General features: G+C 39.9%; 1 protein-coding gene across 57 annotated transcripts in view; it reads left to right on the top strand.

Annotated features, from left to right (window-relative positions):
- RBFOX2 (RNA binding fox-1 homolog 2) overlaps positions 1-17,407 on the top strand; it is a 290,089-nt gene that overhangs the window by 195,328 nt on the left and 77,354 nt on the right. The window lies entirely within an intron of this gene.

Here is a 17,407-nt window from a genome sequence, read left to right as displayed (position 1 = left end):
GAGATCTATTTAGTCCCAAATTCGCATGCTCTTCCATTATTCTGTGAACCTCATAAGATAAATAGTTCCATTGTTGGCCATGATAAGTAGAAAAGTTTTCTTTATGAGCTGAAATCTGTTTTCATGATTGTCTTCTCACTCCTTCTCATTTTCTCATCTGGAGTTGCATTGAGTGGTTTCATGTCTTCTACATAAAAACCAAATATTTGAAGATACTGCTGAACGTTCCCTTTAATCTTCTGTTGCCTTGCTTATTTTTCCTACTTCCTTGAATTACTCCTCATAGATATGAAAACATACGGTTTCCAGAATGTTTACTGACTGTCCTGGACTAGTTGCATTAATTTATATGAATGATTTGTCATTTATGTCTAATCACTAAGTAAAAATATCAATTATGATTACTTTTTAAGTTTTATTGATGCATAATTATACATATTTATGGGGTACATATGATATTTTGATACATGCGTATAATGTGTAATGATCAAATCAGTAATTAGGATACCCATGACCTCAAATATTTATCATTTCTTTGTATAGAGAACATTTCAAATCTCCCCTTCTAGCTATTTTGAAATACACAATAAATTATTGTTAACTATAGTCACTGTGCTGTTGAATATTAGAACTTCTTCTTCTTCTTTGTTTTGGAGACTGAATCTCACTATGTTGCCCAGGCTGGAGTACAGTGGTGCAGTCTTGGCTCAGATCTTGGCTCACTGCAATCTGCGCCTCCTGGGTTCAAGTGATTCTCCTGCCTCAGCCTCCCAAGTAGGTAGGACTACGGGTGCATGCCACCACACCTGGCTAATTTTGTAATTTTAGTAGAGACAGGGTTTCACCATGTTGGCCAGGCTGCTCTCGAAATTCTGACCTCAAGTGATCTGCCTGCCTCTGCATCCCAGAGTGCTTGGATTACAGGTGCGAGCCACTGCACCTGGCCAAGAACTTATTTCTTCTGTGTTTTTGTACCCAGTAACCAACCTCTCTCCATCCCCTGCCTCCTTCCCAGCATTTGCTAAACATTCTACAGTTATGAGTATTAAGTATCATATCTTTGTTATAAGTTTTGTTTTATGATAACATGTTTGGCTTTAGTCAGTTTCTTTTTTGTTGTTTTTGAGACAGGGTCTCACTCTTTCGCCCAGGTTGGAATGTAGTGGTGTGATCTCGGCTCACTGCAACCTCCGCCTCCTGGGTTCAAGTGATTATCCTGCCTCAGCCTCCCAAGTAGCTGGGACTACAGGTGTGCGTCACCATGCCCAGTTAATTTTTGTACTTTTTGGTAGAGACAGGGTTTCACCATGTTGGCCAGACTGGTCTTGAACTCCTGACCTCAGGTGATACACCTGCCTCGACCTCCCAAAGTGCTGGGATTACTGGCGTGAGCCATCGCATACAACTGGCTTTAGTCAGTTTGTATAGCTCATTGAACATGTAGTGTTGTTGGCAATTTATAATTTCAAAAATGAAGGGATATTACCTTGAACTCCTAAAAAGAATAAATAGAATATTGTTTTTCTCTCCACTATAAAGCATGCCCTCAGCTGATTGGCAGGAATCTACCTGTCTTTTAGTATCTGAGTCTTGCCCTGATCCCTCAAAGGTTACTGTCACTGAGTAATGGAAGTCAATAATTATTTTATGAAATTATAAATGAATGCTTTTATGTCCACAAATGATACAACTGTATTCTTTTTTCCTAATGTTAATTATGATTCCTCATAAGAAGTTTGGAAGAGACAAACTGGGACTTAAGTGAAGGAGATTGGGTTTTGAAAAGACTCTTAACTGAGAGCAAAGATCCACGAACTTTTTCTGTAAAGGGCCAGATAGTAAACAATTTTGGCTTTGCAAGCCATGTTGTTTCTGTCACAACTACCCGGCTGTGCTGATGAAGCATTGAAGAAGCTATAGATGATAAGTAAATGAATCGTTGGTTGTAGCTGTGTTCCAGTAAAACTATTTACGGACACTGAAATTTAAGTTCCATGTAATATGTATGTGTCACAAAATATGATTCTTTTAACTTTATTTTTAATTTATTATTATTTTTTTTTTGAGACAGAGTCTCTCACTATCACCCAGGCTGGAGTGCAGTGGTGCGATCTCGGATCACTGCCAGCTCTGCCTCCTGGGTTCACGCCATTCTCCTGCCTCAGCCTCCCAAGGGCAGGTGCCTGCCACCATGCCTGGCTAATTTTTTGTAATTTTAGTAGAGACAGGATTTCACCATGTTAGCCAGGATGGTCTCGATCTCCTGACCTTGTGATCTGCCCACCTCGGCCTCCCAAAGTGCTGGGATTACAGGCGTAAGCCACCGTGCCTGGCCTCTTAACTATTTAAAAACGTAAAACCATGCTTAGCTTGCAGGTTATGCAAAAGTAGGTGGAGGGCTGGCTTTGAACCACAAGCTATAGTTTGCTGATCCCTGACTCAGAGGGATACAGGACCTCGCAATTTCCTTTATAGCATACGTAAGGTTTTCCCATATAGCTTCATGACAGAGAGACAGTTTTGAGTGGTTCTAGCAGGTCATGATGGATCCCTTTTATAATAGAATGAATCCCCTGATTTGCTCTCTTATTTCCCCAGCCCCAGAAAATATGAAGATTCTTCTCCTTCTTTACTTCCTTTCTCCCTCCATATGCTGTATTTTATACCTTATTGCTTTTCATATACATTTTCATATTTTTTTAAAAACATTTTTCATGTAGTTATATACTGTATAACAACATTTGGGTCAACGACAGACTGCATACACAATAGTGGTTCCATAAGATTATAATACTGTATTTTTACTGTCCCTTTTCTATATTTAGACACACAAATACTTAGGTTTGTGTTATGCTTGCCTACAGTATTCAGTATAGTCACATGCTGTACAAGTTTGTAGCCTAGGAGCAATAGGCGATGCCATATAGTCTAGGTGTGTAGTAGGCAATACCATCTAAATTTGTGTAAGTACACTGTGTGATGTTCACACAAAGACACTTGCTTAAGGACACGTTTCTCAGAACATATCCCTGTCATCAAGTGATACATGACTATTATTTATTACTTTGGGCCAGATGCATTTTTCTCCCACATGATTAATTTGTCTTTAAAGGTTCAGCTTAGACTTCACCTACTTCAGAAATCTTCCTGTCTCACACAGTTGTCCCTCTGTGCTTCATTAACATTCTGTATGCATTGTTCGTTTAGCTTATATGGTACTATAATTGTGAGTATATTTCTGTGTTTTTCCATCAGACTATAGTTTCTTTCAGGATTGGGACTATATCACCAGTGTCAGCATCCAGCAAATATTTCTTTTGAGTTAATTAATGATTTTTAACTTGCTAATTCATTGATAGTGTCCTCTTTTGAAATGTTGAATGGGAGAGTTAAATTGGGTAGTCACTTGTAACCTAATGCTTATTACTTAAATCAGTTAATACTTAGCACACATGTAGTTTGGGAAATAGATGCTTTACATGGCTAGAAGATTGGGAGGATTTTGGAATAAACAACTATTTGAGGGACACAGGAAACTCTTGTATTGTAGATGTTTTAGTGAAAGTGGAAGCCTGGGTGTATGACGGTAAATGGCATAGGAGCTCTAGCCTCCTGGGGAGTCAGGCAGGAAGGACGAAGGGCATGACTCCCGCAACTGGGGAAAGGGCACGACAGAGAAAGAGAAGTGGAAGGTGACAATGAAATCTTAGGGATTGGCAACCCATGGCAAGTATACCAAATGTGGTATATTGAGCATAGTCATCTTCCTCTCTGCTTTGCCTTCCACTCAAGATGGCCAAGAGTTAGATTCTTTACATACTACTTTTGAAAACTTGTCATCGCAGATATATAGCAGATCCTAACCAGCCATTCTATGTCATTTTCAAGGCTCACTATTCTTTTAGGTCTTTTTCCCTCCCTCTCTCTGTTTCTTTTTGGATCTTTTCTATATGGTAACATCAAATGTACTTACCTTTTTTTCCCTGCAACATCTAGTCTGCCATTAATCCAATCCAGTGGGTGTATATGTGTTTTTTAAATCTCAGATTATAGCTTTCGTCTCTAGAATTTTTATGTAGGTCTTTTTCACACCTCTCATGTCTCTTAGCATGTTCATTTTTTTCCTTTTTTATCTTGAACATATGAGACACAAATGTTTTAATGTCCTCATCTGCTAATTCTAACATATGTATTAGTTCTGGGTGAGTTGTGATTAATTTATTTTTCTCAGCATTATGTGTTGTAGTTTTCCTGCTTCTTTGCATGCCTGGTAATTTTTGACTGGATGCCATACATTGTGAATTTTATCTTGTTGGGTTCTAGATAATTTTTTATGTCTATAAATATTCTTGAGCTTTATCTACAGCACAACTGCGTTTCTTAGAAAAAGTTTGATCCTTTCGGGTCTTGGGTTGTTTGTTTGTTTTGTTTTGTTGTTTGTTTTTTGAGATGGAGTCTCGCTCTGTCGCCCAGGCTGGAGTGCAGTGGCGCGATCTCGGCTCACTGCAACCTCTGCCTCCCGGGTTCAAGCGATTCTCCTGCCTCAGCCTCCCGAGTAGCTGGGATTACAGGTGCGTACCACCACGCCTGGCTAATTTTTTGTCTTTTTAGTAGAGATGGGGTTTCGCTGTGTTAGCCAGGATGGTCTCTATCTCCTGACCTCAAGATCCGCCCGCCTCGGCCTCCCAAAGTGCTGGGATTACAGGCATGAGCCACCACGCCCGACCTCAGGTCTTGTTTTTTAAGCTTTGTTAGACAGGACTAGAGCTGTGTTTAGTCTCTGGTTAATTTTTCCTGGCCACTGAGGCAAGACTCTTTTTAAAACTCTAATGGATGCTCCTTACATCATTAGGTTTTCCACTCTGGCTGTTAAGAACAGGATTATTCTTGGCACTGTGTGAGCTCCTAGTACTGTTCCCTGTATTTCTTTCAGGTGGTTCTTTCCCCAGCCTCTGGAAGTTTCACACATAGATGTGGCAGTCATCACTCAACTGAGTACTTGAGATCTTTAGAGCTCTCTTTCTCTCTGCAACTTTCTCCAGTACCGTCCCCTGTGCTGTCTTGGCTTCTCCAGACTTCTAGGTCTATCTTCTCAATTCATGGAACCCACCAGGTTCTGCCTGGGTCCTTCCTTCTCTGCTGCAGCCTGGAAACTTTATCCATGTGATAAGTTGGGGCAGTTGTAAAGCTCAACTTGCTTGTTTCCTGACTCTGGAATCTCTGTCCTTCCTTGCCTACTAGACAATGTCTTGAGTGCTGTTGTTTCATGTATTTTGTGGTTTTTTTAGTAGTTTCAGGTAAAAAGAAAAATCTGTTTCTTTTTTTTTTTTTTTTTTGAGACAGATTCTTAGTCTGTTGGCCAGGCTGGAGTGCAGTGGCAGAATCTTGGCTCACTGCAACCTCCGTTTCCCAGGCTCAAGCAATTCTCCTGCCTCAGCCTCCCAAGTAGCTGGGATTACAGGCATGTGCCATTATGCCCTGCTAATTTTTGTATTTTTAGTAGAGATGGGGTTTCACCTTGTTGGCCAGGTCGAACTCCTGACCTCAGGTGATCTGCCCACCTCGGCCTCCCAAAGTGCTGGGATTACAGGCGTGAGCCACTGCGCCTGGCCTTAAATCTGGTTCTTGTTACTCCATCTTTATTGGAAGCAGAAGAGTGAACACATACTTTTAAATGAAAATTAAGCAGTGTTGCATTGAATATATTTTTAATTTATGAGTGAAAATCAGTTGAACAGTTCATTTCAAGGAGTATTAAGGAAGAATGCGTAAGATGTGTAAGTAATTATAATACAAAGTGGGATACAGTAAATTACATGAAAATGATGTCAGTAAAGTGTTGTTAAAAGCTTATATGAGGAAAGAGTTTGAGAAGTTTGGCAGAAGTGGAAGGTGTGAGGAGAATGGCTATGGCATTGCTTTGTGTGTGTATGTATATGCGTTATACAAGACATTATCTGAAACTAGAATCAAATTCTTTAGTATTGAGTGAGGTTTAGTGGTAGGATAGTTTCAGAGAGTCTAGGACTGATAAAATTAATGGGGGGAAAAAAGTCATTAGCAGAAATACCTAAGCAAGAACACAGGAAAAACAGAGTTTCCATGTTTTTATAGTTTGGTGTGATTTGTGGTCTTGCGGAAAAGGAGAAGCATCCTTTTTTCCTATGTATTACCTGCCCTTGCAAATCTTGCAGAAGAGGGAGAAAATTCAAAGTACTATTTTTTCACTGTGTTAAACAGTGTAAAAGATAGGGGCACTCCGGACTGTGAAAATGATGACCACTGCTGCAAACTTGGTGGAACCTTAGAAAACCTCAATAAGCAATATTTAGACTCTTTGAGTCATTGCTATTTAAATGATAATCAGATTATCTACAGATTTCAATGGCAACACATTGTAGAACTAAATAAGTAGATGGCATTGTTTATAGCTTTCTTAATTTCAGTTAAAATGGTCACCTGACTGTTGTTCGCTAACATAGAGCAACTGTGACCAAAAGCTTATCTAAGTAAAGTAATCCCCCCATCCACAGTGTCCCTTTTCATGGTTTCAATTACCCATGATCAACCATAGTCTGAAAATACTAAGGTATGGTATTTTGAGAGAGAGCGAGAAGGAGGCCACATTCACGTAACTTTTATTACACTATATTGTTATAATTGTTCTGTTACTATTAGTATTGTTGTTAATCTCTTACTGTGCCTGATTTGTTAAGTTAAACTTTCTCACAGTTATATATGTATAGGAAAAAAAACAGTATATGAGGGTTCAGTGCTATCTGCAGTGTTAGGAATCTACTGAGAGTCTTGGAGCATATGCCCTGTGGATAAAAGAGGCTACTATATATGCTTTAAAGTTTTCCCTCCTGAGGAACCAGGGGGCATTTTTGAAAAACAGGAGATGCAGGGGGGGAGGTTTGTTTACTTTTACTTAGCCTATCTCTTATATGCAATCTTTAGGAAGAAGAATGTGATTTTTCCCCTCATATTTGTATTGATGTGACTGTTCATATGAAAAAGAACATGGAGAACTTTAAGATTATAACTCAGCTGTTAGCATTTATATTTTGGACTATGTATGCTTTCTATTTTTTCTTATTCTTTCACAATAATAGTGGTAATTATTATCTCTATTTTTTTTTTTTTTTTTTTTTGAGATGGAGTTTCGCTCTTGTTGCCCAGGCTGGACTGCGATGGCGCGATCTCGGCTCACTGCAACCTCCGCCTCCCAGGTTCAAGCAGTTCTCCTGCTTCAGCCTCCCGAGTAGCTGAGATTACAGACATGCGCCACCAAGCCCAGCTAATTTTTTCTATTTTTACTAGAGATGAGGTTTCTCCATGTTGGTCAGGCTGGTCTCGAACTCCTGACCTCAGTGATCCATCTGCCTCAGCTTCCCAAAGTGCTGGGATTATAGGCGTGAGCCGCTGCACCCGGCTTTTTTTTTTTTTTGCCAAAAGCAAAGAATTTTTTATATATGATCTTAGTTAATTCCTTTTTTTTTTTTTTTTTTTTTTGAAGCGGAGTCTCACTGTCTTGCCCAGGCTGGAGTGCAATGGTGAGATCGTGGCTCACTGCAACCTCCACCTCCCGGGTTCAAGTGATTCTCCTGCCTCAACCTCCTTTGGTAGCTGGGATTACGGGCACCTGCCACCACGCTCAGCTAATTTTTGTATTATTAGTAGAGGCGAGGTTTCACCATGTTGGTTAGGCTGGTCTCGAACTACTGACCTCAGGTGATCCACCCGCCTTGGCCTCCCAGAGTGCTGGGATTACAGGCGTGAGCCACTGCACCCGGCCTATCTTAGTTAATTCTTGTAGGTACCCTTTTAGGTAATGATCCTTATTTTCATTTTGCAGATGAAAAACCGAAGGCCTTGAGAGCTTAAGTTACTCATCTAAGGTCACACAAATAGTACATTCATTGCAGAGCCTAAATTTTAACCCATGTTTATCTTTCTAAAGTTTATGCTATTTCTGGCCCTGCCCCCATTTTGATGACAGGTATTACATTAAGTATAATATAAAGAATACAGACCTTACTATTAAACTTTTTCTTTTTTTTTTTTTTTCACTTAGTCAAAATTTATTTGAAGGCCTGAAGACATTTAGTTAACTTTTTCTTTACATAAACTCTGCCTTCCCCCACCAAGTCTCTGTAACCCACCTTTGGCCAAACCCTTGAGAAATGTCTACTAATTGTCTTGGAGCCTTTGGTTCCTCTGGGGTAAGCACAGAATTGATTAATTTGACTATCTGATGCATTTTGGCTTCCCAAAATTTTATCTTATTAACTGCACTCCCAGGCTGGAGTACAGTGGCGCCATCATGGCTCACTGCAACCTCCGCCTCCTGGGTTCAAGCAATTCTACTGTCTCAGCCTCCCAAGTAAGTGGGACTACAGGCACATGCCACCATGCCCAGCTAATTTTTGTATTTTTAGTAGAGACGGGGTTTTGCCATATTGGCCAGGCTGGTCTGGAACTCCTGACCTCATGTGATCCACCCGCCTCGGCCTCCCAAAGTGCTGGGATTACAGGTGGGAGCCACCGTGCCAGGCCTAGAAAATTATTCTTGAATGAAGCTGGATAGTGTAGTTGATTTAATTGATAATGATAATAATGAAGTTTCAAGTGAGGAAGACTATAAGTAAAGAGAAGAAATAGATATGTCTTTTTATGCTTTTTTAAAGTATGCCCTGTTGGTTTAGCATTGACTTGACTTTCACAGGAAATGTGGAGTGAAAACTACAAACATTTTCATTACTAAACAACTATTAAAATATGGATGGCTTGTTTTTGGTTCTTTTGTTAGCTGGTTTCAGGTATCCCTAGTTCTGTCTTCCGCAGGCCACCTTTCTTAAGTTGAGATAGGTTTTCCTGTTCAGTAATAACAGTCTGTTTATAATAGCATTTCTGATGACTACTTCTAACATAGGACTCCCATTTCTTCTCCAGGCTGGCCTCATTGTGATAAAGGATTCAATGTTGTAATCACTGGTTTACATTTCATTGCCATTCCTGATTGAAGGATCAGAGTCCATGGCCTGCCTTATTGATCCATTTGCTAGAGATCAGTGGGGTAACGGGAATTATTTTCCTCTTTAGACTGCATTCTGATCTTGGCTACTATTGCATTCATGAAGAAGGAGGGAGATGAAAAATTAGGCATTCTAACTGGTAAATACTTGATGTTTTCTTTTGTTTCTGAGAGTAGTTAGACCCTTGCAAATCTTTTCTGTTTGTAAGGATTTAAAATAATGTTTAGCATATAGTGCTGGGTGTGTTTGTAGATGGCATTAGGACTGTGACTTACAGCACATATTTAGGGTTTTTTTTTTTGAGATGGAGTCTCGTCCGTCTCATCCTGTCTCCCAGTCTGGAGTGCAATAGCGCGATCTCGGCTCACTGTGACCTCCGTCTCCTGAGTTGAAGCGAATCTCCTGCCTCAGCCTCCCGAGTAGCTGGGATTACAGGTGTGCGCCACCACACCTGGCTAATTTTTTGTATCTTTAGTAGAGATGGGGTTTCACCATGTTGGCCAGGCTGGTCTTGATCTCCTGACCTCATGATCCACCCGCCTCGGCCTTCCACAGTGCTGGGATTACAGGCGTGAGCCACTGCATCCGGCCACATATTTAGTTTTGATCCTTCTCTGAGTTGCTTTGCTTCCTGTAATTTAAATGTGTCTAATTTATTAAAGCATAAGTATACAGGCAGTTTTAAAAATTGTAGTAAACACTTCTTATTTTCCTTTTAATCTTCTCTAATTTTCTTTTAATAAATCTTCGAGTTCTTAAAAGTTTTTTAAAGAAACATAAATGTTTAATAGTTATTTAACGTTTCTCAAATATATACAGGAAACTGGAATTAACAGAACTCATTTATGGTTGAAATCTTGTTTTGCAGAAAATAAATCATTACTTCTGGGTCAAGATGGTAGATAGATGCTTTCATTTGCCTCACATCTCTTACAAGACTCCCCTGAAATAACAGTATAGAAGTACAAAAAATAAATCAGCAATAGCAAATAGAAAAAGGTGAAATGTAGCACTAATATACAAGAGAGTTATTAAATTTCTGGAAAAGCTAAAACAAATGAGAACCAATAGTTGGATGAAATGAAGAATAAGCAGATGCCTGTTGGTGAATACAAGGAGGCTGCTTGCTAGTGTTATGGAAGCCAGTCTGTCCAGGGGGAACCCATGGGAGCTCTCTGAGCAAAAATGAAAGAGACAGAAAACAGAGGAATTCAGTGTTTATTTAGGGGATAACTCAGTTACCTGGCATTGCCAAACCCTTTCCAACCCCTTCCCAGTGGCAGTAGTCAGCAAGTACTATGCCATCCCCTTTCTCTAGCATTAACAAAGGAAAAACAAGGCCGGATGCGGTGGCTCATGCCTGTAATCTCAGCACTTTGGGAGGCCGAGGCGGGCGGATCACCTGAGGTCAGGTGGAGACCAGCCTGGCCAACATGGTGAAACCCTGTCTCTACTAAAAATGCAAAAATTAGCCAGGCGTGGTGGCAGGTGCCTATAATCCCAGCTACTTGGGAGGCTGAGGCAGGAGAATCACTTGAACCCGGAGGTGGAAGTTGCAGTGAGCTAGGATTGTGCCACTGCACTCCAGCCTGGGCGACAGAGTGAGACTCACTCTCAAAAAAAAAAAAAAAGACAACCCAAAGGAAAAACAAAACATAAAACAGTGTTTGTCTCCAAAGAAGTTGATCAGAATGTTTGGGGAAATTTAATTTTGTGTGTGTGTTAGATATTGGCACCTCTTCCTTTAGTCTCATATTTAGGGGGATGGAGAGGGAGGGCATTCTGCACTTTGCTAGTGGCTTACACTAACACAAAGCCTGCCAGTGACATGCTCTTCTCTGTCTTATACTGAGTTCCCATTAGAATTTTAATTCCAAAGAGAGATGTAATCAGAAAGCAAATTCACAGAGGAAACTCATACTAGCTAACAAGTCCTTTTACCTGGGTTACCAGTACGTGAGGATCATTAGAAGTCTTAGAGGAACTTTTAGCATGAAAGAGACCAGAAAAAACAAAAAGAAAACCTGAACCTAGGGGCAAAAGATAATGCAGGAAACAGAAGAGAACTTTAAAGGAATCTTCTAACTAAAATACTCATAAATACTCATTTATAAAACCAATACTAGGTATAATGAAGAGCAAACAATTAGAGAATGCAAAAGGAGATTTAGAACATTATTGTCAATGGAAAGCACACAGTAGAAGGATAGCCAAATAGAGTTGGAGATGCTCCCAAAAAGTAGAGGTTTAATTCACCAAAATGGAAAATACAAGACACAAGTCATAGACTCTGTTCTTAGCTAGTGTTCTCTAGAAAACAACCTGAAACAAAAACCTTACCCACTAACACTTTATTGGGGAGTACCATCTCAGGAAAGCAGGAGGGAAAGAAGAGTGAGACAAGGCAGAAAGGCTGGCCCTCTCTTTGTAATAGGCCTTGCTGATTGCTTGGTTTTACTGGAAGTCTTCAGGAAGGTTGTGTAGAGCTATTGCTTCTCTGTCCTTTCCATCCAAAGAAGGTGTGAAGAGGTGTTTATGGTTTCCTCCCATTTCCTGCTCCTCCCCCTTTTGGTCAAAGTTTGCCATACAAACAGTTAACTCACTTGACCCCTTCCTTCAGCGGCCTCAGGAGAGGAGGCCAGGTCCTACAGTCCTATGGGTAGATCAGGTGTGTACTGAGTATGTGTTGCCAAAGCTTGGGGGTGGTCAGAGCAGTCAGTAATCCCTAATGGCAGCCTCTGGCCTGGGAACCTCTGCCTTTTAGGGAACTATTAAAAGAAGGTCAGTCCTCAAAGGACTGACAGAGTGAAGGATAGGATACTACTGCTTTTTTTTTTTTTTTTTTTTTTTTTTTTTGGAGACGGAGTCTCACTCTGTCCCCCAGGCTGGAGTGCAGTGGCGCAATCTCGGCTCACTGCAACGTCCACCTCCACCTCCCAGGTTCAAGCAGTTCTCCTGCCTCAGCCTCCCAAGTAGCTGGGATTGCAGGTGTCCTCCACTACACCCCACTAATATTTTTAGTAGAGACGGGGTTTCGCCATGTTGGCCAGGCTGGTCTCGAACTCCTGACCTCAGGTGATCCGCCCACCTTGGCCTCCCAAAGTGCTGGGATTACAGGTGTGAGCCAACACGCCTGGCCAGGCTACTGCTGCTTTTAATCATAAGCTCTTCTTACCTATTTGATTTGCTATCATGTGCATGTGTTAATTTGATAAAGATAAAAAATAAAATTTAAAAAGAAAAAATGAATTACCAAAAACACTCTGGAAATAACTATCAAAGATATTTTAGAATGCATTTAGAAAACAGAATGAACTTCAAATATGAAAAAATAGAATCTAATTAGTTTATATCAGGAACATCTTGGACTGCTAGAATTGATCCTTTCTCCTTTCCCACTCTTTCTTGCTCACTCCTTGTTAGCCTACAGTACCCTGGGGTTGAAATCTAGTAGTCTTCTTCTCCTTCATACCCGTTGCCAGGTTCTGCCAAGTCTGCCTTTGGATTGTCATTGCTCAGGCCCCCCAGTCTATATCTCGCTGTGGCTATTGTATGTAGTTCATAGCTTTAGTGTAAGTCCCTTCAAAGTTTGTGGTATCCTTCTAATGAATCTCCTTGTCTTCCCTACCTCATATCACCTTTGTTTCCTGATGCTGAGTGTTGGTCACTTCCTGTACCACCATATCATTTTTGTTATAACAGAACTTTGTGTTTGCTTATATACTCTACTGGGTTGAAACATCTTTTATTTCTTTAATAAATACTTATTGAGAGATTTTAAGGCAGCCACTGGGATACAAAGATGAATTAGATCTGGACAATTACCTGCCTTCAAAGAGTTCATGTTCTGTAAAGACAATACATATGTAAGCAAATAATTGTAATTGAATATAAGTACCATAATAGAGTTAAGTATTAGGTTGGGGAGGGTAGGAGGAAGGAATGATTTTCCCCCTTTTTGAGTGAATTAGAAACCTCTAGAGAGGAGTAGATGCCCAAATACCTATTAAAGATTGTGTATGTATTAGCCCAATGAGTAGAAAGGAGAAAAGCTTTCTAAGCAGAAAGAATACTATGTGCAAAGAAACTGGAAGGTGAAACAGTACGTGGTGTTTTCAGCATTCGACACACATTAGATTACCACCTGCACCAAACCCTCTTCATCTCAGCTGAATTATCAGGGTCGCCTCCCAACAGGGCTCCCTGCCTTTGCCTTTGCCGAGTGGTACATTTAAAACCTAATTCTGACCACATCACTTCTCTGCTCAGAACTCTCAGTGGAGTGTAAAAGCTAACCTCCCTGCAGTGGCTGTAAGCTTTACAGGATTTCTATCAACGTCCCTCTTTCCCCACTGCTACCTTTCTCGCTTCATCTCCTGCCACTCTGTTCCATGCTTACTCCAGTCTGATCACATAGGTCTCCAAGGCCTCCATGTTCCTAGTTCTTAGAATGAGCTGCTTGTATTTTTGCCTGTGGGACTTTGCATTTGTGTTCCCTTTGTCTGGAGTCTTCTTCCATCCAGATACACGTATAGCTTGTTGCCTTAGTTTCTAAAAAATTATGATCAGTGTTACCTTGCTAGACCAGCCTTAGAAAATAGAAATTCTCTGTCTCTCCAGCCCAATACCCCGATACCCTCCTCTTATTTTTTCTCTGTAGCATACCATCTGTTTATTGTTTTACTTGCCAATTTATTATTTGTCTCTTCCTACTAGAATGTAAACTCCATAAGGGCAGGGACTTTGTCTTTTTAATCATCGTTGTTTCATCAGCAGCTAGAACAGAATATCTGATGAATGATAGATACTCAATAAATATTTGATGGCAAGAGTTGAAGCTGAATAGATGAAGTGTGCAAGGGGCATGACTTCCATGCAAAGGTATTTGGACTTGAGACTGTAAACATTGGCAGTCTAGGATTTTAAGAAGAAGATAAATTAACTATCAGATTTAGGTTTTATTTTAGAAAGATCATTCTGGCAGGTGCTTGGAGAGTTCATTAGGTTGAGGTTAAGTTAAAATAAAGCAGAACTCTTTAAAAACCAAAAAAAATGTTATTTAGATAGCCTAGGTGAGAGCAATGGCTCATTTTTCTTTTAATTTCCCATAGTACATAATGTGGACTCCCACATATAGCCTTATATGTATCTTAATAGAATGATTATTTATATTGTGGTAAGGTCCCTGGCAGAGTTGGTAAAGCTATTGAGAGAATGGTTCCTATCTTTTTTTTATAGACTTATACTGCAGAAGCAGGTATTCAATTACCTGGTTAATTCAATTACCAGGCATTTTCTAAAGGGCACTTCCTATATGCTCATCATCACTTCATTTGGTGAGGAAGCTATGATGAAGACGTTTATGATTCAGTCCCTGGTTGACTTAGGGACTTTACTTGTTAAATGATTAAAGAATATATAAGCCACCATGTAACCATGGTTGTAGACAAAATGTGTTTTGTTCTGGGAAAGGGATAGGGAAAATTTTTCTCTGTTACTATATGTATATCATGTGAATTTTCTATTTTAAAGAGGTAGACTACAACAGAATACCCAACAAAATTTATAAAGCATAATTAAATATTTTGTAATTCAGAAGACACTCTACTACTTTGCCAGTGTTTTATTTGGAACCTGAGTGACATCTATTTCTTTGTTTTGTTTTTTCCTTAGAGACATGGTCTCTCTCTGTTGCTCAGGATGGAGTACAGTGGTGTGATCTAGGCTCACTGCATCCTCAAACTCCTGGGCTCAAGTGGTCCTCTCACCTCAGCCCCCTGAGTAGGTAGTACTACAGGTGCATGCCACCACACCTGGCTATTTAAAAAAATTTTTTTTGTAGAGATAGGGTCTCGCTATGTTGCCCAGGCTGGTCTTGAACTCCTGGCCTCAAGCAGTCCTCCCACCCCGGCCTTCCAAAGTGCTGGGATTACAGGTGTGAGCAATGCCACCTGGCCTATTTTTAAGGCTATTCCAGTTTAGCATATGGAAGATGCAAACTTAATTGTCCATGATGACAAAATAATAAATTAATTTAGATTGTAGTGAAAAGTTTGGTTGAGAAAAAGAATAATTTTCCATGGATTGTGTAAATCCATTGGAATAGAATATTTACATTGAATAGAACAGACAGTTAACTATTAATTGTAAGGGCCTTCCATTTCCAAAGAAGCAGGTAGCTGAACCAGAGTAGTTCTTGCTGTCTGTTGTTGCCAGTGGAAGACATGATTCATGAATGTTTGAGGTTCTAAATACTTGTTTAAGGAGAAATAGAGGAAAGAGCTTTTAAGAGGTTGGAAATATTAAGACTATTACAGGGTTTGTTGCTTTTCACCTAATAGACTATAGGTTTGAATGACTTTGTTCTGAAATATTTATTTTCCTGTTTAAATATTCATTGCTGTGAGATTTCAAAACTCAGCCTCAAGGGAAAGACCGGACTGGCTTTTCCCTCTGAGTAATTCAGAAGAGGGGTGTGTGTGTGTGTGTGTGTGTGTGTGTGTGTGTGTTGACAAGTGATTTGGAGGCAAGTTTACAATATTCTTGTTGGCCAAGCCTGTAACTGCCCTTAAATTTACATATACCAGCTTGTGTCATTTATTGGTATTCTAAGCAAGGATTTATATTGTATTGCCTGGTTTTTTAAAAATTTATTTTATTAATTGTCTGTTTATAAGAGCTCAAGATTGTACTGGTCGTGTTCCTGAATTCCAACGCCCCCTTACATGACTGCAGCACACTCATCTTTTGGTCCTGATTCTTTAGTTATACCCACGCTAAAAGAAGGATCCATTGTGAGGCCTACATTTCAGTAGATTTGCACTTTAGAAAACAACTAGTGTTTATTCTCTTAGCTGCAGGTTCCATATAAGAAGGTAACCCTCTACTTTTAGGAAACTTACATTTATAGCCACTGTTGCCTTCCTCTCATCATCTATGCTCTCTTTTTATTTATTTATTTATTTATTTATTTATTTATTTTGAGACAAAGTCTTACTCTGTTGTCCAGGCTGGAGTGCAGTGGCGCGATCTTGGCTCACTGCAACCTCTGCCTCCGATGTTCAAGTGATTCTCGTGCTTCAGCCTCCCAGGTAGCTGGGATTACAGACGTGCACCATCACACCTGGCTGTTTTTGTATTTTTAGTAGAGATGGAGTTTCACCACGTTGGCCAGGCTGGTCTTGAACTCCTGACCTCATGTGATCTGCATGCCTCAGCCTCCCAAGGTGCTGGAATTACCTTGGGAGCCATGGGGCCTAGCCTCTATGCCCTCTTTAATCTCTTAACTGACTCTGTTCTTCTAAAGGTGTAGATGCTTCAGGACATGTCCTGGAGGCATGCTGTAACCATAATTCTCTCCCATTTTGCCAGCCAAAGCCTCTAAGTCAGTGTTTCTCAGAATGTGGGACCCAAACCATCTACACCAGTAAGTACCAGGGTCCTGTTCCAACCCACTGAATCCTAATCTATGGGGAAAGGATCTTGACATGTGCATTTTTAAATATGTTCCCTGAATGGGTGTTATACGCAATAAAATATGGTCATCTTTGCTTTCAAAGAACAAGGTAAAAGATGAGTTGGTAGGTGTGAGGAGCTGGGTTGTATGGAAGTAGTTTCTTACTGCATCTTACTGTTGAGACTGAAGCAGGAATGGGTGTGTCTGAACTCCTTACCCGAAATTAGACATTTTTTTCTTAAACTAATACTTCAATGGCGATTGGTTTTTATTACAGTAATCCTTATTATATAATCATTGAATCTGTTTCCATGAGCTTCCTTGGGATCTTGGCCATTCAGTAAGTTCCAGACAACCAAGTGAAAAGCGAACTCTTAGAATTCAACCTGAAGGTAAATATTTGGAGACTACATGGAGATTTCATTGTATAGATTTTTCCTCTCAACATCACATTTACCTACAAGTTGCCTAACATCTTATGGCTCTGAGTGTAGTTCAGATGTATTGTAAAAGAGAAAATGTATTACTTTTACCTAACTTACCAGAAATGTATTCAGGATTATTAGACACTTAACACTTTTGTCTGCTCTGGGTGCTCAAAATTGTGAAACTTTCTTGAGGTGAGAAAAGCAAAACAATTCTACCCTACAGCTCTCCTCTAGGTTATGGTAGTTTAAAAAAAAAGTTAAGAACAGTTCAATAGCTTGGTTGTCTTTAGACTTAAAAACAAAACAAAACAAAACAAAAAACGAGAATATTTTAGATACTGAAGGAAGGAGATTTGGGATTTAAGTATTTGTGTAAGTTAAGAATCTAGAGTAATTTTGCTTTAAGTCTTGCAAATGAGCATTGTTTTGTCTTTGTATGTGTTTATCTGATTTATTTATCTGGATTTTCCTGGTCTGTTCTTCTA

This window comes from Homo sapiens, chromosome 22 (assembly GCF_000001405.40).
Source record: "Homo sapiens chromosome 22, GRCh38.p14 Primary Assembly".
In the NCBI taxonomy this organism is placed as follows: Eukaryota; Metazoa; Chordata; class Mammalia; order Primates; family Hominidae; genus Homo; species Homo sapiens.
Note: the sequence above shows the minus strand (reverse complement) of the source record. Positions and strands in the feature narration are given on the sequence as shown.